Source organism: Homo sapiens, chromosome 22, assembly GCF_000001405.40.
Source record: "Homo sapiens chromosome 22, GRCh38.p14 Primary Assembly".
NCBI lineage: Eukaryota > Metazoa > Chordata > Mammalia > Primates > Hominidae > Homo > Homo sapiens.
In genome coordinates, this window is record NC_000022.11 from 45,635,558 (window position 1) to 45,657,173 (window position 21,616).

A 21,616-nucleotide genomic window follows, 5' to 3' on the forward strand; every position below is an offset into this window, starting at 1 on the left:
TACTGATTGCAATGCAAACAATTACAAGCTGTAAACGGCCTCTGCTCAGGGGAGAGGTCCAGGGATCCCCCCATGCATGCATGCATCACTAGGAGCTATGTAGAAATGTTTCAGATCCCTTCTCTACATGAACTTAACCCAGTCAGATGAAGAGCAGCAAGGCCAGGAGCATTCCATTTACTGAGTGAGTTTAAGGTTTTGGGTTGTTTTTTCTTTGAGACAAGGTCTGGCTCTGTCACCCAGGCTGGAGTGCAGTGGCACAATCTCGGCTCACTGCAACCTCTACCTCCCAGACTCAAGCGATCCTCCCACCTCAGCCTCTTGAGTAGCCAGGACTACAGGCGCACATCACCATGCCTGGCTAATTTTTGTATATTTTGTACAGATGGGATTTTGCCATGTTTCCCAGGCTGGCCTCAAACTCCTGAGCTCAAGTGATCCACCCGCCTTGGCCTCCCAAAGTGCTGGGATTACAGGTGTGAGCCACCACACCCGGCTGGATTCTTCTTTATAAGCCCTTCGGAATAGGATCAAACCAATCCAGCCATTGGAGTCTTTCAAAGATGACACAGATGTGAGGTGAGTTTCGTAGAATCACAGCCTCGGTTTAGAAGCTGAGGCTGTGGTTGACTCTAGGAGCTTCTAAGGCCTTATTTATTTGTTTAGTGGCTGGAAGGTCAGATGGGGATGGGGAGAACCCTGGGTGATGTTTTCCGGAGAGGTGGACAGCTGTATTTCAGTCCCGCCCACCTCTAGCCAGCTATTATTCCCTGCTCATTTGCCAGGAACCTAGCTGCATATAGGCTGTCCTGCTGGGGGAACAGTTTTACTGGAAAAAAAGTGCCCGTCACATTTTTTACTGGAAAAGTTGAGAGGGTGGGAGGCAAGACTGGCTGGTTTCAGGTTCCCATCCATGCACTCAAGGCAAGCTGGGCTCACAAAAGCACCGCTCCCTCAAAACCCAGGGCAGGTTTTAGACCAACAACAGCCGAGTTTGGTTAAAAACGGTGGAAAATATTGGTGCTTTCTCATGGTTTTGGCCCCCGATCGAGTTGATGCCACTCCAGAGGTTCTAGCATTCCCAGTCTACAACTGCAGATTCTCAGTTTCTTCCAGAAAACAAGACGCCTCTCAACCAGCAAAATTGGTCATTTTCAATCTCGGTTTCCTTCTTGCCATTGCGTAAGTCCAATCTTGTTAAACCTACGAAGAGTGAGGGTCAGAGCCGTGTACCCCTAATTATATTCCCAACACTTACAATCAGCCGGCTGATGTGTAGTTAAGAAGCACAATCTTCATTGGCTTTTACAATTATCAGGAGAGGAGCAGATGGAAGTCACGGGGCAGGGCAGTTTTCTGAGTCTGGTGAATTTTGCTGATATGAGAAGGAAAGTGATAGTTTTAGAATCAGAAATTTGCCATAGAACAATGTCTTCTCTCCTGACCTCTGCACCTGCCAAGGCCCTGCTCCACCTCTGTCTTCTGTGTCCTGAGGAAGCCTTTCCAACCCCTTTCAGGATGAATGAACCCCCTCTTCTGTGCTCTCATCTCTTTTCTAGACCCCCAACTCATTGCTGCCTGAATAGCTCCATCCCACTAGACCAGAGACTTCCTGAGGCCAAGAGCTGTCCTACCCGCCGAGGACACCCTCATTTGCTTGAATGAATAAGCAAACGGCTCCTTCCTCCAGCCATCCCAGCCACTAAGTTTCACCTTGACCATGACTGGTGCTTCTCAGACCCAAACAAAGTAGCTACTGCAGGAAAGGGAGCCCCTGTAAAAATGAAAAGATGTTCATTAACATGGGGGAACACCTGTTTGACCTCCCAGTTTTCTGCTTGTTGGAAAATATTCTAATTTTTCCTCAGCAAGTAGATTTCCCTTCCTACGCCTTCGCCTTCAATTTCTTTTCTTTTCTTTTCTTTTTTTTTTCTTTTTTTTTTTTTTTTTTTTTTTTTTTTTGGAGACAGGGTCTCACTCTGTCGCCCAGGCTGGAGTGCAGTGGTGCAATCTTGGCTCACTACAACCTCCGCCTCCCGGGTTCAAGCGATTCTCCTGCCTCAGTCTCCTAAGTAGCTGGGATTACAGGCGCGCGCCACCACGCCCAGCTAATTTTTGTATTTTTAGTAGATACGGGGTTTCTCCATGTCGGCCAGGCTGATCTCAGGTGATCTGCTGGCCTCAGCCTCCCAAAGTGCCGGGGTTACAGGTGTGAGCCACCTCGCCCAGCCCAATTTCTTTTATAATCTGTCCCCAAAAAGGAAACTTACAAAATCCTCTTTAAAGAATATTCTCCACAGCAGCAGCAGATGAAAGAAAATGTTATTGAGTTGGGCGTGCCTTAATCACCATTCACTCTACTCTTAGCCATCTATATTTGTCTGTCTGCCCGATTCCCTTGTAAGTATTTGTACTAAGGAAATTTGACTTGCTGCCACTTGAGGTATTGTGGATAAGTGGCCTTTTTAGTTGGCAAATCCAGAACTTTCTATCGTCATCAACCCACACTTTGTGAGCTCCTATTAAGGAGTAATCTCCTTGCTCTACTATGGTCTTGTACATGAGCAAGGAGATTACTAAAGTTTTTAAAGTCAGCTAAGAAAATAAATCAACATTTTTGTTTGTCAGTAAGAGGTTGATGGCATATATATTTACTGTATATATATGTGTGTGTGCACATACACATATGTACATAAATGACACACATGGTGAAAGCAATGTTATTTGGTTAAGACTAAAGGCATTGTTGGGAAGGGAGGTGGGGAATTAGATGTTGATACAGTAGGTGTTTCAAATGTCGGATTTCAATGGTAATGGGAAGGAAAAGAAAGAAGAAAAATGGCTCCTTAGAATATATCAATTCATCATTTCCCATTTGCAAACATTGAAAAAAAAAATGAGAGAAGCTGTATGTCTTTCCTTGAGAGCTGCCTTTTAGCTCCCAGAGAGATGGAGTTTGGCTGATGTCAGGGTTTCTAAGGAAACGATGTATGCTTATGAATAGCAAAGCAAATAGACATATAAAACGCAAGTAAATCATTAATTGATTAATATTATTATTGATGGGATCTGGAGAGACTTACATATTCCTTCTTTATTCCAAGCTCTCAAAAGTTTTCTTTCATCGCAAAGCAAACACTCAGAAGGCCACTTTATGGATAATTATTCCCTCTTTGCTCCACACTCTAGAGACGAGGAAGGGCTCACTCTTGGATTTTAATGGATCAAAGAAAATGGTAAGCCAGGCAAGAGAAGTGTGCTTCATGTTTTCTGTCTTTTTTTAAAACTGATGGCTGTGGTTTTTGAAGAGAATGGAAAATGCATTAGGGATAGTTTGACTTAAACACGAAGCACCTTTTGGTTTGACAAACAGATTTGAGTAGAGGCTGAGTCACATCTTCTGACCCATGATTATGTCTGTTTCAATGGTGCCTTTCTCAGTGGCTGGATTCCATGGCGGACGGGTAGGGCCAGGAGGAGGTGCTGAGTGGTGCCAGGTGCAGGGTGGCGCAGTGTGGGGACGGCAAAAGGTGAGGGAATCCAGTATGCGCTGATGGAAAGCAGAGGGGGACGCCAGCCCAGTGGCCAGATGAGGCCGACGCACCCCCGGGAGGCCACGGTTGCAACACGAGGGTGTGTCCCAGCTTCCTATTAGTGAGTCAGCATTTCCTCCTCTGGTGCCCAACAGCCCTGGGGTCGCTGTGGAGGTTAGGGAGAGGTGAACCGTCCCGTCTGGATGATCCTTGTTTGCCTCTGGCCCTCCTTGTCAATCCAGACCACGACCAAGAAACCTTCCCTTCACATTGCGTCCTCCTCCCCTTGGCACTGCAAGTGCCCAACCTGAAATGTGTCCATGATCACTGCTATCCAGGAAGTGTGCAGTTGGAGACCAGCCCTCTCCCGAGGCCACACCTGGAGTAGCAGAGAGGGCAGACAGAGAACATGCCCTGTGCAGAGACCTCTTGGAGTTGCACCTGCCTTGCTGTGTGACCTCAGCCAGCCACTTAACCTTTCTGTGCCCTGGCCACCAATCCCCTCACAGCACCCCCCTCAAAGGGCTGCTGAGGGCATGCCTTTGCGTGCACCGCTCCTATTCTCACAGTGAGGGAAGCAAGGGCCAGGGAGACAGCGTCTTGGTTGGCAACAGGTCCAGCTTCTGGCCCCAGCTCTAGATACTGTGGGTGCCCTCAGAGCCTCCACAGGACTTTCAATGAGAGGGGTGCCTCATCCAGCCCACCCCTACATGTAGGCCAAGGGGATAAACTATCTCACATCCCCCACGTGGCGGCCCCTTTCCTCCACGGAGCTTGCTCAGGGAGGGACTCAGTGCCCGTTTGTTGATTGGATAAGGTTGGTCTGCGCAGGGAGGTGCTGTGCTGCAGGAAGGTGAGAAAAACCACAGCCTGAGAGCTGTGAGCCCCAGGGGCCTGGAGCAGGAGGCGGGAGCAGAGGAGAGGGCAGTTAATTCTGTTGGGGGTCGAGGGACAGGAACCCAGGACAGCTTCCTGGAGGTGGCTTTTGAGGTGGGTCTTGAAGAATGCACAGAAGCTTGGCAGAGGCTCAGAAAGCCAAGAGGGCAAAGCCATGGAAGTGTGGGGAGGCAGAGGGTGCCAGGGGTGCCGGCTGTCCCAGGACAGCAGCGAGGAAGGGGGTCTCTACTCCTTTCTCCTCCTCCTGGTGGACGATCTCAGACCCTGTAGGTCCCAGGAGGGGAGGGAGAAGCTTGATTCTCTGAGCCTGAGGTCTCTGAGGGCAGACCCTGTGCTACCCTCCTCACACCCTAGGAGCAGGTGCCAGTCTGGGAAGCTCTGAGGGCTTTTCCTTTTCAGAATGGGTGGGGGTGGCTATGTCTCAGCCTTCACAGTTGATCAGTGACACAGACCCTAGGCCTGTGGTCCCTGGTCAGGAAGTTGTGCTGGGGGCAGGGAGGGGCCTGCCCTCAGGTGCTGGTTGGCCTTGGTGGAGAGTGGGGAGTGCTAGGGGCTGGGAAGACTCCCCTGGGTCCCAGAGGGAAGGGCTGTGGAGGTGCTTGACTTTCCCACCTCATTGTGATGCGTCCAGGTGTGAGATACACGCACCTAACTACCCCTTTGAAGGGATAGGGCTGGCAACTCGCAGGCCTCAGAATGAGGGCACACAGTAGCCCTAGGGTCAGCTGGGCCCTTTGTCTTTGTGGCAGCTACACTCAGCCTGAAGGGCAGCCAAGCATTCACATCTGCCAAGAACCTGGGACTGAATCCTGGAACACAGTCTACACGTCTCCCATCCCAGGTCTAAAATGGGAAGGTGGACAGGGGAGGAAGCCGAGAGAGGGTCACCCCCGCCCTCCCCTTCCACCCTGGAAGAGGCAAAGGGGTGCTCCCTTACCCACGTTTTGTTGATTGGACAGTTGAATTCAGAGAGGTTGCCCGATGGACCAGAAGAAACACAGCCAGGAAGAAGCCGTGGTAGCCCAGAGCAGGAGCCCCTGAGGCCCGTGCTCCTCCCTCAGGCTTGTGGGGCTCAGTCCAGTCCCGCGCCCTCCTCTCCAGGGAGCAGCCAGGCTGGGTTCACAGCGCTCTTGCTCCAGTCCACAGTCTCTGCTGGGTTTGGGCGAGTGCAAGGCACAGTAGCCCAGAATCCCAGCTCCCAAATCCCATGAGCTTTGCCACGGCTCAAGCTTCTGGGCCCATCTGGAAACGATGCTGCCGGCCTTACGGGGTGCCTGTGGGGTTCATGGGCCGGCGTTTGAAGAGGCAGTGGTGGTAGGGGCCCGGAGAGCAGGGCTGGGGCTGGTCCCTGTGGGACGGTCACCCCCAGAGGAAAGGTGTGGAAGGCACAGGTGGACTCTCATGGGGCTCTCAAATCACCCGAGATGAAGGTTCAGTGCAGTCCCCAGGCACAGACCCCAGAGATCCTGACTGGGAGGTCTGGCGTGGGGCCCCAAAAGGTGTAATTTTCCCCAGCACTGCAGGTGTGGGGTCCGAAGCAGGTGGTCCGTGCACGGCACTCAAGGCCTTGGTCCAGCGTCAGTGCGGGGTTCGTGCAGCAGCCACATGGGCTGACTGCCGCTGGCCCTGGGAAGACAGGGCAGGATGAGGCTGGGCATCCCCCTGGGCTTGGGACACAGAGGGAACACACGGATGTAGGGTGTGAGCCTACAGTGCATCCTCTGCTCCCCAAAGTGTGCCACCATTCAACATAAAGCCCGTTGCATTTGCTGTCCACGCAGCCTTCAGTGAACCTGTCTATGGGCACACTCTCAGAATCAACAAATTACGGGGCTCGAAATCAAAATCCGCCTCTTCCCCCTATACCAGAAAGGCCTGTCTGTGCCCAAATGTTGAGGGAAATGGATCTGCCTTGACCCTTTCCTTTGGCGCGATCTCAGCTCACTGCAACCTCTGCCTCCAGGTTCAAGTGATTCTCTTGCCTCAGCCTCCTGAGGAGCTGGGACCACAGGTGCGCACCACCACACCCAGCTAATTTTTGTATTTTTAGTAGAGACGGGATTTCGTCTTGTTGGCCAGGCTGGTCTCGAACTCCTGGCCTCATGTGATCCACATGCCTCCGTCTCCCAAAGTGCTGGGATTACAGGCATGAGCCACCGCGCCTGGCCACCCTCTCCTTTCAATGAAACGCTTTTACCTTGGTTTACAGACTCAGATGAGATACTTCCCATCTGTTCATAAAGGGAACAGATTCTGACTTGTGTTCTAATCTTGAGTACCAAAAACTCCCCTAGAAGGGAGCTCTGCATTTTCAGAGGCTCACCCACGTGCCCATGTAGGGTCTGAGAAAGGTCCTGCATGGGTGAGTGATTTAGGGACAGGCGGTAAACTGAGGAAGTGACACAAAGCCTCCTGCACAGAGATCCCACATTCTACCTGGTATTACTCCCATTCTCTGCACTGCTGACAGCTCTCAAACAGATTCTTTCCACGAGGAATTAGCCCGCACACAACATGAATGGGCTCGTTTTATATCAGAAGGCTGAATTTTAACTGACAAATTGGACAGGTTCCCTAAGGCAAGGGTTGCTAAGCTTTGTCATTCTCGCTAAAAATGTGATTTATAATATATTTCTATTTGCTAGACACTCCTTTTCCCAGGAATGAAGACCCAGCCCAGAAACAGGAGGTCTGCTCAGTATCTTGACCCCATATAAAAATATGCTCCTCAAAAGTTTTCATTAGCATATAAACAGATATGCATCAATCAATCTGCAGCATGGCCACGTCAGCTTTATTTCATTATGTTTTAATGATATTTTAAGCAGCCAAACTCTTAGAATTCAGGACAGGGCAAGAGTAACCCACAATTTACTTTAGAATTTTATGTTTTAAAGGAAAGATCTAAGGGTCTGATGAAAGGAGTTGTATTTCCTCGGATCTTTTCTTCCACTTTATAAAATAAAAACCATTTTTGTTGCTTCTTAAGTACTCTGGTATTTACAAATGCAGAATATGTCAGATATTAGAGATCAACCCACACCTTCAGCCAAGTTTCCTCAGAGATCCTTTGTAAAAAAAAAAACCACACACACAAAAAGTGGGTGAAACCGTCTGACTTCTTAGAAGTCTGAGTTAAAAGTTGCAAACTCATTTTGCCCAAGATAACCAGAAATGCTCTAAGCTAAGTGGGCAGAAACAGATTTGATCTCTGTATCTGATTGCTGGCAGAAGTCAAGCAGCCAATTTTTCAACAATGTCTCCATATCATGAAACTTCCTAAAAATCTTCAAGGGAGTAACCTGAGCTTGTGAAAAATGATCCCGAATGTCAATAGGACAAAGCTTCCCTTCCAAGATATAATTAGGGGAGCTTGGAGCAGGCCTTTCATATTTGAGTTGACAAGCATCTTTTTTCCTTTGTTCAGTCTGTTCTGGAGGGCTTTAGGAGGGCTTCGCCATTTCTTTGTTAAGAGGAATGGTTGAAACAAAATTTGTATAAGAGGAATCATTTAAAATTGAATCCATCCAATAGGAATGTTTATTTTACCCAACGTTTTTCTGTGTGAGAATAATACCTGTTTTTTCTAGGTAATATATGTCTTTTATTTAATCACATGCATATTTAAGCCTCTAAGTTCTCTGTTCAAAACACTGATTTTTTTTTTTTTTTTTTTTTTTTTTTTTGAGACAGGTCTCGCTCTGTCGCCCAGGCTGGAGTGCAGTGGCGCTATCATGACTCACTGCGACCTTGACCTCCCAGGCTCAAGCGATCCTCCCACCTTAGCCGCCCAAGTAGCTGGGACTACAGGTGTACATCACCATGCCCAGCTAATTTTTCATAGAGATGGGGTTTCACCATGTTGTGCAAGCTGCTCTTGAACTCCTGGGCTCAAGCAATCTGCCCACCTTGGCCTCCTAAAATGTTAGGATTCCAGGCATGAGCCACCGCACCTGGCCCGTAACACTGATTAAAGACATACAGATCGGCCGGGCGCGGTGGCTCACGCCTGTAATCCCAGCACTTTGGGAGGCCGAGGAGGGGGCAGATCACGAGGTCAGGAGTTTGAGACCAGCCTGGCCAGCATGGTGAAACCTTGTCTCTACTAAAAATACAAAAAATTAGCCAGGCATGGAGGGATGCGCCTGTAATCCTAGCTACTCGGGAGGCTGAGGCAGGAGAATCACTTGAACCTGGGAAGCAAAGGTTGCAGTGAGCTGAGATCCCGCCACTGCACTCTAGCCTGGGTGACAGAGTGAGACTCCATCTCGGAAAAAAAAAAAAAAGATATACTGATCATATGAGCAAAGCATTGCTAAGAAGGCTGATGTAATTGTTAGGCTCCACTGAGAGACGCCTGGTGTCTAGAACTTACGATGTCCAGGCTGGTGGGAGCTGGCCTGGAGTTGGTACCCCGTGGCGATAGAAACATGAATGCATGAAGAGTATCTACAGAAGGGACCAGAACCTTGAGAAGACTCAGAACTCTCAAGCAGAGGCCGGTTGCGATGGCTCAAGCCTGTAATCCCAGCGCTTTGGGAGGCCGAGGTGGGCAGATCACTTGAGCCCAGGAGTTCGAGACCAGCCTGGCCAACATGGTGAAACCCCCACTCTACTAAAAATACAAAAATTAGCCGGGGGTGGTGGCGCATGCCCGTAATCCCAGCTGCTCGGGAGGCCGAGACAGGAGAATTGCCTGAACCTGGGAGGCACAGGTTGCAGTGAGCTGAGATTGCACCACTGCACTCCGGCCTGGGTGATAGAGCGAGATTCCGTCTCAAAAACAAACAAAAAAACCAAAAAAACCTCAGAACTCTCAAGCAGGACTTCTCAACCTCAGCACTGTTGACTTTTGGGTGGGACAATTCTTTGTTGTGCGTGTGGCGGGATGGAGGTGCTACGCCATGTACCTTAGGATGCTTAGCAGCACGGGGGCCTCTCCCCACCAGACGCCAGGAGTGGTCTCCCTCCTCCGGGTAGATCACCAAAAGTTCTCCAGACATTGCCAAATGTCCCCTGCAGGGCAAAATCGTCCTCGGTTGAAATTGTCCACTGCTCTAAAGAATGCAGGAAGTTGGGCACACTTAGCTCGGAATGAATATTTACAGGGAACATTAAAGCTGTTTGTAGGCATCGTACGAAAAAAGTTATTCTGATTGTTTCAGAAGGCTGAGCAAGAACAAACGGGGCAAACCTGTATTTTGACTAAGGAACAAGGAGACCTTTCTAGAAGAACCGCTCAGCTCCCAGTCCCCAAAGTGTGTATGTTTAGACCGGGCGAGGATCCTGAATCAAGGTCCGGGCCTCTTTCCTCGGAAGAACAGACCGACCGATGGTCTTCTGGGCACCCAGAGGAGCAGTCAAGCGCGGTGCTTGCTGAGAGCTTGGCCTCCGTGGGTGCCATTTAATCTGCGGTTGGGAGAGGTATTCAGAGCTTTGCAGATGGGCCTCTGCCGTTCCTCAGGGCCCACTCCAGTGCCCAGGGAGGGTGGGCAGAGCAGCGGAGGCAGGGGGCTTGCGGTGGGGCTGGGGCCGGCAGAGGAACAAACGGACTCACAGGACGTGCGGCAGGCAGGAGAGCCCTCTCCCGACCTGACCGTCACGGAAGCCTCTCAGCCGGTGTCTGAGCTGGGACTGGGACCCAGAGTCCTCAGTCAGGCTCTTCCCTCCGAGGTGGGGAGGCGAGCCCGGGGATCCGCACCTGCCCAGGTGGACTCCGCTGCTGCGTGGCGCCTGCCCTGGGACCCACGTGCGGCTAGGCGGCACCTCCCCGGGCGCCCAGCAGGTGGCGGTGCGCGGCCTCGAATGGCGGCTGGCAGGGCCGGGACGCGGCGGCTCCTCGCCGGGCGCGTTTCCTCCTCCAGCACTGTCTCACCCTGCTCCATGCTAACCTGCTGAACGGCCCCTGGCCTCTTTCCGCCCCGCCCCCGCCTCCGCAATGCGCCCCCCTTCCCTTCTGCGGTCCCCTGCCTGTCGCCCTCTCACGCTCCAGGTTGTGAGCGAGTATCTCCCCACTTTAACACCCTACACCACACCGCGCCCGGCCACAAGACAGCTTTACAACATACACAACCCTGACGAGGAAACGTGTTCAAAACCAATCACTGCGCTCATCATAAAGGTAAAGAAAGCAAGGAGGTGTGTGTCCACGCACAGGGTAAATGTGGGCTGGGTGTGGGGTTCTAACTTGGAGAGGGCCTGAGGGCAGTGGCAACTCGCATTGCATTGGAGGGAGGCCTTGGCAGGGCCCACGGGGAGAGGCTAGAGAGCCTCCCAGGTGCGGGGCAAGGCATGGGCTATGCTTGGGGGCAGAAACAGACATCTGGGGAGCAATGAGAGGCTTTTGGCTGCAGAGGGGCAGCCGGGAGACCTGCCCCAACCCTCTTCAAGCCCTTGGTCTTGTTTCCTGACATCCCAGGTCGTGTACAAATGTCTCCTCTCCTAGAAGCCGAGGTTGAAAAATGGTCAAACCATTAATTACTCAACAGTTTGTTTGGGCAGTAGTGTCTGCAGCAGTGGGGTTTTTATACAGCACAAAAATAACAAAACAAAGTTGGAAAGCGAGGGCCATTCTGGATGAACGTCCACCCTTGGCTCATGGTCCAGGCCATCGAGATGTGTGACCATCCTGAGAGAGCAGATGACAGAGGTGCTTGTGCCTTTGGTTGGTGGGGAGTGGGTGGAATGTGGCCATTTTTTGGTAGTGGGGTGAACTTGTGAACAGTGTGATCATAATAATGGCTAACAGGTTTTTTTATTCTTTTTTTTGAGATGGCGTCTCACTCTGTAACCCAGGCTGGAGTGCAATGGTGTGATATTGGCTGACTGCAACCTCCGCCTCCTGGGTTCAAGGGATTCTCCTGCCTCAGCCTCCCAAGTAGCTGGGATTACAGGTGCCCACCACCACACCTGGCTAATTTTTGTATTTTTAGTAGAGACGAGGTTTCACCATGTTGGCCAGGCTGGTCTCGAACTCCTGACCTCAGGTGATCCACCCGCCTTGGCCTCCCAAAGTGCTGGGATTACAGGCGTGAGCCACCGTGCCCGGCCGGCTAACGGTTTATGAGCACTTACCAGCCACTGTCCTATGCCCTCTCGTTGAATGCTCACAATGACCCAATGGGATGACCCTGTCACCATCGTCCATCCCATCTTTCAGAAGTGGACGCTGAGTCATGCTGAAGTTATATAATGCACTCAGCTCACATGGCTGGTAGCACTTGAGGCAGGGATCTGGACACAGACGGCTTGACTCCGGAGCTCCTCTCAACCACAAGCCAATGTCAACAAGCCTCCACCATGAAGGTCCTGAATGATATGAATAAAATAGCATTCGCGGCAGAGTGATCTCCTTGGATCTCCTGAGTGGCCCATTTGGCAGTGGGTATGGCTGGGACAACTATTTGCTAGCTTACTAGAATGTCATCATTCGTGAAGTATCTTCATATACATAATCATATTTGATTCTCCCAGCAGCTCTGTGTGCTGGGCAAAGCAGATATTAGAAACCCCATTTTATAGATGAGGAAAGTGAGTCTTGGAGGCTGTTGAGTGGCTGGCCTGGAAGCTGGCAGTTTCCTGGCAGCTTTGGAAGCTGCAGTCAGGGAGTGGGATTTCAGAGTGCAGTTGGAACCTTCGAGAGATGACAAAGGCCCAGGGTATGGGTGGCCACGGTGGAACGGAGGTAAAGGTCACCATCCAGGAGGTATGGAAAGGGCTGTGCAGTGCTGGCAGTCCCCCGGACGCCTTGTGCACCTGAGCTGGGGCTGGACTGGGAACCAGCAGAATCAGGCACCTGCTGCGGGTCAAGCCTGTCGGTAGCTTATTTCAACCACTCTTCACGATTTATCTCGGTTTATCTCCCTCTCCTCAGCCATGCTTTCCAACTTTGTTTTCTGTTATTTTCCTCTGCTTACTGAGGCTGAGTGCTGTGACTTGTGCGAAAGCGTGACTGGCAGAACCCACAACTGTCTGCCTACGATGTTGTTATTTCTGTCCTCTCCAAGGGCCTCTTCTCGGCTTATGTCCTCTGCACACTTGCGCACCGTGGAATCCAGCCCGCTTCTCAAGCCTCACTGTTTAGATTTGGGACGCCAGTTCCTGGGCATGGTTTTAGCTCTGAAATTGGAAAGAAGGACACTTAGCTTAGAAATGTTATGGACAAAATAATTCATGAGGATTTGTAATAGACTGGGGGTGGGGAGGAGCCAAACCAGCGAAGAAGAGGAGGAAATGAGTGACATAAAAATTGGGGGCTTGGGAAGACAATGATAGGGTGGTTAAAAAAGGGAAGGATTTGGTATAAAGAAAATAAGTCCTGTTCAGCAATGTTTGGTGGTGGTGAGACGCTGCTCACAGGGTAGACAGAAGCAGGAAGTGAGGGTGAGAACTAAGGGCCACAGAAGCACACCTGTGAGTCATCGGGGGACGCATGGAACCCAGGAACCATGCACGCAAAGCCTCGGGGGGCTGCCAGTGCTGGGCTGCCCTTCCCACACCTGCTGGGCAGTGACCTTCACCTCCGCTCACTGTGGCCACCCACGCCCTGGGCCCTGTCATCACTTGAAGGTTCCAACTGCACTCCGAGATCCCGCTCCCTGACCACTTCCGACGCCGCCAGGCCTCTCACGCCTCCGTCCCACCACACCCCCTGACCTCGTCCTGATCTCAGCTCCCTGCACTTTCCTGTGGACACCAGCCACCCCGGGTCCCCATCTCTGGGCCTCCGGACCACAGGGGACATCATCCCAGCCACACTCTTGCCAGCGCCCTCACATGCCTGGCCCTTTTGTCCTTCCGCCCTGCTCATCCGCAGCACTCAAGCCAGGGATTTACACAGCACCTGTCTCCGCCATCCCATGCTAGCCTCCACACTCTGGTGGGAGAGAGCCCACACCAAGGATGTTTGGTGCCTGCAAAGCCATGGTACTCAGAGGCAGCTGCTCACCCCATGCTCTCAGCCTCCTCCTCTTCCCAGCATGTATTCCAAATGGGTGACATCTTTTCTGGCAGATGGCTCTGCCTTGTAGTTCACAAAGGAACAGGGCAGGGCGCAGGCATGGACGCCCAGAGCGCTGTGCTCCCCTACCTAGAAATGCATTTTCTTTCTTTTCTTTTCTTTCTTTCTTTCTTTTCTTTCTTTCTTTCTTTCTTTCTTTCTTTCTTTCTTTCTTTCTTTCTTTCTTTCTTTCTTTCTCTTTCTTTCTTTTTCTTTCTTTCTCTCTCTCTTTCTTTCTTTCTTTCTTCCTTCTTTCCTTCCTTCCTTCTTTCTTCTTTTTTTTTGAGCTCTGTTGCTCAGGCTGGGGTGCAGTGCCACAATCTTGGCTCACTGCAACCTCTGCTTCCCAGGTTCAAGCGATTCTCCTGCCTCAGCCTCCTGAGTAGCTGGGACTACAGGCACGTGCTACCAGGCCTGGCTAATTTTTGTGTTTTTAGTAGAGACAGGGTTTCACCATGTTGGCCAGGCTGGTCTTGAACTCCTGGCCTTGTGATCCGCCTGCCTCAGCCTCCCAAAGTGCTGGAATTACAGGTGTGAGCCACCACACTCGGCCTGGAAATGCATTTTCTATGTGTGACCACTGTGCCAAGTGCTTTGTGGCTGTGTTATCTCATTCATCCTTGTGCCAACACCCCTTTATTCTCATTTTGCAGGTGAGGAACTTGGGGCTCAGTGAGATGGAGTGACTTTGACCTGCCTGATGTTCCACAGCCAGCAGGTAGGAAAACGAGGGGTTTCACATGTGTGCCCTGAGTCCACACAGCCAGGTACCAGGCTTGGTGCCAAGAATAGAACCACAAGCTGGACAGACAACGTTCGTACCCTCATGAAGCATATGTTTTAGGACAGACAGGCAACAAACAAGGAAATAAGTGACTCCACTGAATAATTACAGACTGTGTAGGTGTCAGCAAAGGGAGACACAGAGTTCAATGACCCAGAACGCAGAGCACTCTGGCTTAGGTGGGAGGTCAGCGGAGACCCCAGCAGGAGAGTCACGTCCTCTCTCGCTAGCCACCTGTCCCTTGCTATCCACCTCCACCTGTTCAAGGGCTGCCCACTCATCTGTGCTCGGGATGCCAGCATTAGCAAAGCATCTCAGCTTCATTGTGGGCAAGTAGCCTTGGTATAGATGATGAGCTCAGGGGACTGAGGCCTAGAGGTAGAGAGGTTGTAGGGGTATTTGTGGGGTCAGTCATCTAGGGACGAAATGGGTCCTTAAAGAGAAAACCAGGGGATGGGCGCAGTGGCTCATGCCTGTAATCCCAACACTTTGGAAGGCCAAGGTAGGCAGATTGCCTGAGGTCAGGAGTTCGAGACCAGCCTGGCCGACATGGTGAAACCCCATCTCTACTAAAAATACAAAAATTAGCTGGGGGTGGTGGCGGGTGCCTGTAATCCCAGCTACTCGGGAGGCTGAGGTGGGAAAATCACTTGAATCTGGGAGATAGAGGTTGCAGTGAGCCAAGATGGTGCCACTGCACTCCAGCCTGGGCAACAGAGTGAGACTCCATCTCAAAAAAAAGAAAAAGAGAAAACCATGGTTTGGGTCACCAGCCTTGGATGGGTGCCTCAGGTGGGTCCCTCCCTCTTTGGAAGATGGCCTGGGCCACAATGGAGGCAGGTTAGTTCAATTCCTGTCAACAAATAGTCGGTGAGCATCTTGTCCCAGCTGGGACTCCCTAGGACGTGGAGGATAGAGAATTTGGGTGTAGGAAGTTTACTGGGAAGTTCTCTCGGTATCACAGTGGAGAGTAAAGGAAGCGGGATTGGGCAGGGGGAGAAGCTGAATGTTTGATGGTGACAGTGGGTGGATCAGTCTTAATGAGTGGCTGTCCATGCCAGCGGGCTCATGCACGGCTTCAATCCTTGCCACTGTAGCCAATCGATTCATGAGAACATTGTATCTGCTCCCTGGGGGCCAAGGACAAAGGCTGGTGGCTAACGCCATTGTTGGTTGTTGAATGCCTCTTCTGTGTTGGACACTCCCCGGCGCGCATGAACCTGTGACGTAAAGATATTTTTTTCTTGTTGCCCATTCTCTTTGTTCATTCACACCTTCTTTCTCCTCAAGATCTGATTCCCAATCTTCAGGCTTCCGACCACGCTATCTGCCACTGTTCATGAATCTCTATATACTCCAACCTTGGGCCACCTCTCTTTCCTTGTGAGATAGATGACCAGCTCAACCCTTAAAACTCTGTCCCTTAAGATTTCAACTTATTGCTGCTTTCAAAGCCATCCCTGGATGGGGCTGCAATCCAGCCACATTCCACTTTTGGCTTGTGCCTGCAGACCGAGTGTGGTCGTCAGAACAGTCTCCCAAAGAGGTCCCTATCCTAAGAGCTGGCACCTGTGAATATGTCAAATTACAAGGTAGGGGGTGGATTCAGGTTGCTCATCAGCTGATCTTGAAGTGGGAGATTATCTTAAGTTATCTGGGTGGGCCCAATGTAATCACAGGGATCTTATAAAAAAAAGAAGGAGGAAGGAGAGTTCATGTTAGAGATAGAAAGGAGGTGTGATAATGAAAGCAAAGAACCAGAAGGATGGCATTGTGAGAAAGACTCAGCCCTTCAGCCCTGTGTGGCTGGCTTTGAAACTGGAGGAAGAAGCCATGAGCCAAGGAGTGTGGACGCCTCTAAAAGTAGAAAAGACAGGGAAACATTCTCCCCTAGAGTCTCCAGAAGGAGCTGATGGGCTGGGTGAGGTGGCTCACACCTGTAATCCCAGCACTTTGGGAGGCCGAGGTGGGTGGTTCACCTGAGGTCGGGAGTTTGAGACCAGTCTAGCCAACATGGCGAAACCCAGTCTCTACTAAAAATACAAAAATTAGCCGGGCATGGTGGCATGAGCCTGTAGTCCCAGCTACTCGGGAAGCTGAGGCAGAAGAATCGCTTGAACTTGGGAGGTGGCGGCTGCAGTGAGCCAAGGTCACACCATTGCACTCCAGCCTGGGCGACAGAGTGAGACTCCATCTCAAGAAAAAAAAAAAAAAAAAAAGGAGCTGATGGACACCTTGATTTTAGCTCAGTGAGACCCATTTCGGTCTTCTGAACCCCAGGACAGTAAGATATTAAATGTGTGTTGTTTCAAGCCACTAAATTTGTGAGTATTTGTTACTGCAGCCGCCAGGAACTAGTACACCAAGCAATTCCATCTGTGAACCAAGCCTGCCCTTTTTCCTTCTTCCTGTGATCCTAAGGCACTCCCACCTGGTGGCCACAGGTGAGCTTAGGGACACGTACCAGTGCAACGGAGGTAGATGACGTGATTTTGGGCCACTGGCTTGTGTGACTTGCTTCTGCCCTCTGGCCTTGCCAGTTCTCAGTCCCGGATGTGCCACTTCCGTGCTCTGGTGAACTGCTGCAGCACCTGGAAAGTTGTGATAGAATCCAGCTTGTCATGCGCAGTACTGGCCACGTGGACCCTTGACATCATGGTCAGGGTCTCCATATCTACCAGGGCTTGGTTAGCATGACAGGAGCTTGTTTTCTTTAAAAGTTTGCTGACTGGGGCTAGCACAGTGGCTCACGTCTGTAATCCCAGCACTTTGGGAGGCCGAGGCAGGTGGATCACTTGAGGTCAGGAGTTTGAGACAAGCTGGCCAACATGGTGAAATCCCGTCTCTACTAAAAACACAAAAAGTAGCCCGGCACGGTGGCACATGCCTGTAATCCCAGCCACCCCAGAGGCTGAGGCGGGAGAATCGCTTGAACTCGGGAGGCAGAGGCTGCAGTGAGCCGAGATCATACCACTGCACTCCAGCCTGGGCGACAGAGCGAGACTCTTGTCTCAAAAACAAAAGAAGTTTGCTGACTGTTGGTAAACGTACTCAGTGGCACGATCAAGGAGTTCTGGAGCACTTCCGTCACCCCTAGTATTTCCATTTGTGGTCTATTTGCAGTGTGTCCTGTGGTCATTTGCCAAATATCCCTGTTCCTACTCCCAGCTCTAGGCAAATACAAATCTACTGCTTGCCCGTATCGTTTTTGGTCTTTTCTAGGGATTTCATATAAATGTAATCATATGCTATGTAGTCTTTTTTGTCTGCTGTCTTTCCTTTATCGTAATGCTTTCTAGGTATATCCATGTCACAAGCATCTCTCCACTCTGACAATCAGAACTCCAATGTCTCCTAGCCCTGTGTGAGCCCCGGGAATTGTGAAGGTTACAGTTCCCTGACAGTTGTTCTTTGTCTTGTTCTGTGGACTCTCCCCCAGCGCACGCACAGTTTAATATTTAGTCCGAGACCCAAGCAGATGCCTATCTGATTTCTGGAGTTCATTCTCTGCAAAGCTTCCACCTCCGGAAATTCCAGCCACTTCGATTTGCAATCTGTGATCTCTGCCTCCCTAATTCATTGAGATTGTCTTGCTATCCTGGGCCCCTGCTTTCTGTGCTGTGATGTGGAATGTGAGTCCAGGCAGAAAGGCTGGGCGATCATAAAGATCACCTCGTTTATTTCTTTCTCTCAGGGATCCCAGTCCTATTCTTCCTGTTAATCAACGTCTGAGAAAGGGTTCTGTTTCCCGTATATTTTGCTCAGTTTTTTAGTTGTTTGAGGCAAGAGGGCAAGTCTGCCACTAGTTATCCTTCATGACCATTATTGTTGTTGGATTTTTTTTTTTTTTTTTGACAGAGTCTCGCTCTGTCGCCAGGCTGGAGTGCTGTGGCACGATCTCGGCTCACTGCAACCTCCGACTCCCTGGTTAGAGCGATTCTCCTGCCTCAGCCTCCCGAGCAGCTGGGATTACAGACGTGCGCCACCACGCCCAGCTAATTTTTGTATTTTTAGTAGAGACGGGGTTTCACCATGTTGGCCAGGATGGTCTCGATCTCCTGACCTCGTGATCTGCCCGCCTCAGCCTCCCAAAGTGCTGGGATTACAGGTGTGAGCCACCGTGCCCAGCCCTGGATTTTTTTTTTCATGATCTATTATTCGTACACAATCAAATTCACCTTTTATTTTTTGTTAAATTAATTAATTAATTATTTTTTGAGATAGGGTCTCGCTCTGTCATCCAGGCTGGAGTAGTGGCACGATCACAGCTCACTGCAGCCTTGATCTCCTGGGCTCAAGCAATCCTCCTGCCTCAACCTCCCAACTAGCTGAGACTACAGGCATGTGCCACCATGCCCAGCTAATTTTTAAATTTTTTCTGGAGACAGGGTCTCACTATGTTGCCAAGGCTGGTCTCAAACTCCTGGCCTCAAGCTGTCCTTCCATCTCAGCCTCCCAAAGTGCTGGATTACAAATGTGAGCCACCAGCATGTATGTGCCCAGAGGGTAACTGTATACAGGTAACCACCATCACCATCATGAGAGAGAACAATTCCCTTCCCCTGGCCAGTTTCCTCCTGTTCCTTCACACTCCATCCTCTTCCCCTCTCCAACCCCATGCAACTACTTATCTGTTATCACTATAATTTTTTTGTTTGTTTGTGTGTTTTTTTTTTTGTTTGTTTGTTTCATTTTTTTGAGACAGAGTCTCCCTCTGTTGCCCAGGCTGGAGTGCAGTGGTGCAATCTTGGCTCACCGAAACCTCTGCCTCCCAGGTTTAAGTGATTCTCCTGCCTTAGCCTCCCAAGTAGCTGGGATTATAGGTGCCCGCCACAATGCCTGGCTAATTTTTTGTATTTTTAGTAGAGATAGGGTTTCACCATGTTGGCCAGGCTGGTCTCGAACTCCTGACCTCAAGTGATCCACCCACCTTGGTCTTCCATGTTATCACTATAGTTTTGTCTTTTCTATAATTCCATATAAATGAAGTTATACAGTACACAGTCTCTTGTGCTTGATGTCCTTCATTCAGCATGATGTTTTTGAGACTCACCCACATTTTTGCATGTGTTAGCATTTTGTTTCTTTTTATTGCTGAGCAGCATTTTATTATATGGCTATATCACAATTTGCTTGCCCATTCACCGGGTGATGGACATTTGGGTTGCTTCTGTTTTGGGCTATTATGAATAATGTTACTATAAGGATTCACGTACATGTTTTGTGTAGACATACGTGGAAATGAGGGGACATGTTGTAAATGTATGTTTAGCTTTTGGTTTTTTTTGAGACAAGGTCTCCAGGCTGGAGTGCAGTGGTGCCATCATAACTCACTATAACCTCAAACTCCTGGGCTCAAGCAATTCTATTGCCCCAGCTTCCTGAATAGCTGGGACTACAGGTGTGCACTACCACGCCCAGCTAATTTTTTAATTTTTTTGTAGAGACAGGATCTCCCTATGTTGCCCAGGCTGGTCTTGAACTCCTGGGCTCAAATAATCCTCCTGTCTTGGCCTCCCAAAGTGCTGGGATTACAGGTGTGAGTCACTGTGCCTGGAAATGTTTAGTTTTTAAAGGTATTGCCATACTGTTTTGCAAAGTGGCCATACCAATTTGCACTCCAACTAGCAATGTGTAAGAGTTCCAGTTACTCTAGGCCTGGCGTGGTGGCTCACGCGTGTCATCCCAGCACTTTGGGAGGCCGAGGTGGGTGGATCATCTGAGGTCAGGAGTTGGAGACCAGCCTGCCTAACATGGTGAAACCCTGTCTCTACTAAAAATACAAAAATTAGCCATGTGTGGTGGCAGGCGCCTGTAGTCCCAGCTACTTGGAAGGCTGAAACAGGAGAATCACTTGAACCCGGGAGGTGGAGGTTGCAGTGAGCCGAGATCGTGCTACTGCACTCCAGCCTAGGCGACACAGTGAGACTCTGTCTTAAAAAAAAAAAAAAGTTCCAGTTACTCTAATCCTCGGTGACACTCATAAACTTTATTTTTTCTAATTGGTGTGTATTGATAGCTTATTGATTTCCTATTTGAATTAACTTTGCATTTCGGTCAAACCCATATTTCTGGTAAGACTATCAAAATGTCAGGTATATTCCACTACCTGACGGGCCATTTAAATAAATATGGACAGATTTCATTCAAATGTCATCCTCAGTGCCTGTTTTCTGGTTGTAGAAAAGCTTTCCCATGCAAGAGGGCTGATGATATGACGGTGGCTCATTATGCTGCAGTGTATTTTCTCCAGGTAAAGAAAGCTTTTCGTGGTTCACTGACTGAGGAAAATCAACCCCTCCACAATCTAGAACCTGAAGACTGGATCTTCTGGGAACATCAGAAATAGACTGCCTTTGCCATCCACACTACAGCAAAACTCTGGGACCTTGAACTTTGGGTTCATAATCTCACAACCCAAAAGGTTCCCTCCACACTCCTGGAACTGTACACCCTTTGGAAACTTTAAGGTAACACTAACCAGGGAAGTGTCTCCCCAGAAGATGACATTCTTGATGTGAACAGCTTTTCCCCAAGATCATGAATCAAGATTCCTCTACTATCAGGAGACTCTCAATCTTTCAAATTTTTCCCCCTTGCTTATGCCTCCATGAGCAATAGAGGTGAAGTCGGGGTCAGTTGTGTGTACTCATGGGGTATACTTTTATTTGTGAAGGATTTTGCAGCCAGCCTTGTACATGGATAACCTTATGGTTTGACAGATGGAAGATGAAGGCCCAATGTAGGTGAGAAATTTGAATGGTATATTATGTTCCCTTATAATCAGTCAGAAGGACAACATGGATCTACTCCTGTTTACCCACCTCATGGGTTAAAGAAAACATTGCCAGGAGGTCTTCACTCTTCTAGAAGGGCATCATTTGTTAGGTCCTTTTTGCATGGTTTGGAGTAAATGAGGCAATGATTAGAAATGTATCCCTCATGAGAGGCCCCACAGCAGATTCTACCATAAAGCCTGTGGTTACGCAACGGACTTTAAATTCTTTTGGGAAAGTTATGCTAAATAATAGAATTTCTCTAGATTTCTTACTGGCTAAACAGAAGTATCTATAGAGCTCCTGGCACTTGTTGCCCATGGAAAAATACATAACATCTGGTGTTATAGAGATTCAGTTGTAGGGGATTAACAAAGAGAGTGCTCAGTTAAAGTGAGTAGACTCTTTAGCTCATTCTTTGATCCTTTGATCTATTTGGTTTTAGCTTGTTTGGTTTATGGGGACCTTGGCTAAGGAGCATACTCCAAACTCTTGGTATTATCTTTCTGATATTCATAATCATCGTTTCCCTGGTGTGCTGTCTTCTCTTAAAAGTTTTAAATGTCTGCATGCAGCCATCTCTAGAATGTCAAATGGTCTCTCTTCAGGTGGAATGACAAGAGCTGAA

General features: G+C 49.7%; 3 long non-coding RNA genes across 4 annotated transcripts, besides 7 other annotated features; 1 reads left to right on the forward strand and 2 right to left on the reverse strand.

Annotated features, from left to right (window-relative positions):
• The first annotated feature begins 423 nt into the window (after positions 1-423).
• On the forward strand, positions 424-21,099 carry LOC105373069 (uncharacterized). Of its 2 annotated transcripts, XR_007068130.1 has the most exons (4): positions 10,293-10,551; positions 11,202-11,814; positions 14,082-14,146; positions 20,452-21,099. It is a non-coding gene; the product is annotated as an uncharacterized LOC105373069 (long non-coding RNA). The 2 variants fall into 2 exon arrangements; XR_001755590.2 differs by lacking the exons at positions 10,293-10,551; positions 11,202-11,814 and adding an exon at positions 424-579.
• Positions 1,058-4,872, reverse strand: LOC105373067 (uncharacterized). Its single transcript, XR_938308.3, has 3 exons — positions 3,084-4,872; positions 1,714-1,774; positions 1,058-1,375 (listed from the first exon to the last, which is right to left on the reverse strand). It is a non-coding gene; the product is annotated as an uncharacterized LOC105373067 (long non-coding RNA).
• Positions 3,004-4,203: an enhancer, noted in NCBI's record as "CDK7 strongly-dependent group 2 enhancer chr22:46034441-46035640 (GRCh37/hg19 assembly coordinates)". NCBI's record gives its function as "activates an origin of replication core promoter dependent on BRD2, BRD4, P300/CBP, MED14 and CDK7 cofactors, with strong dependence on CDK7, by STARR-seq in HCT116 cells {active_cell/tissue: HCT116}" and the evidence as "EXISTENCE:reporter gene assay evidence [ECO:0000049][PMID:35650434]".
• Positions 3,004-4,601: a biological region, named in NCBI's record as "CDK7 strongly-dependent group 2 enhancer GRCh37_chr22:46034441-46035640".
• Positions 3,492-3,786: an enhancer, noted in NCBI's record as "tiled region #12951; HepG2 Activating non-DNase unmatched - State 4:PromP, and K562 Activating DNase matched - State 8:EnhW". NCBI's record gives its function as "activates a minimal TATA promoter and a strong SV40 promoter by Sharpr-MPRA in HepG2 and K562 cells {active_cell/tissue: HepG2 | K562}" and the evidence as "EXISTENCE:reporter gene assay evidence [ECO:0000049][PMID:27701403]".
• Positions 3,830-4,601: an enhancer, noted in NCBI's record as "H3K4me1 hESC enhancer chr22:46035267-46036038 (GRCh37/hg19 assembly coordinates)". NCBI's record gives its function as "activates a minimal SCP1, AML or CMV promoter by ChIP-STARR-seq in primed H9 embryonic stem cells {active_cell/tissue: H9 hESC(primed)}" and the evidence as "EXISTENCE:reporter gene assay evidence [ECO:0000049][PMID:30033119]".
• Positions 10,111-10,400: a silencer, noted in NCBI's record as "silent region_13882". NCBI's record gives its function as "represses an Ori minimal core promoter by ATAC-STARR-seq in GM12878 lymphoblastoid cells {active_cell/tissue: GM12878}" and the evidence as "EXISTENCE:reporter gene assay evidence [ECO:0000049][PMID:35858748]".
• Positions 10,411-10,480: a silencer, noted in NCBI's record as "silent region_13883". NCBI's record gives its function as "represses an Ori minimal core promoter by ATAC-STARR-seq in GM12878 lymphoblastoid cells {active_cell/tissue: GM12878}" and the evidence as "EXISTENCE:reporter gene assay evidence [ECO:0000049][PMID:35858748]".
• LOC105373068 (uncharacterized) lies at positions 11,997-21,139 on the reverse strand. The gene is made up of 3 exons (XR_938309.4): positions 21,037-21,139; positions 16,677-16,803; positions 11,997-12,548 (listed from the first exon to the last, which is right to left on the reverse strand). It is a non-coding gene; the product is annotated as an uncharacterized LOC105373068 (long non-coding RNA).
• Positions 13,130-13,630: an enhancer, noted in NCBI's record as "H3K4me1 hESC enhancer chr22:46044567-46045067 (GRCh37/hg19 assembly coordinates)". NCBI's record gives its function as "activates a minimal SCP1, AML or CMV promoter by ChIP-STARR-seq in primed H9 embryonic stem cells {active_cell/tissue: H9 hESC(primed)}" and the evidence as "EXISTENCE:reporter gene assay evidence [ECO:0000049][PMID:30033119]".
• Positions 21,140-21,616: the final 477 nt, after the last annotated feature.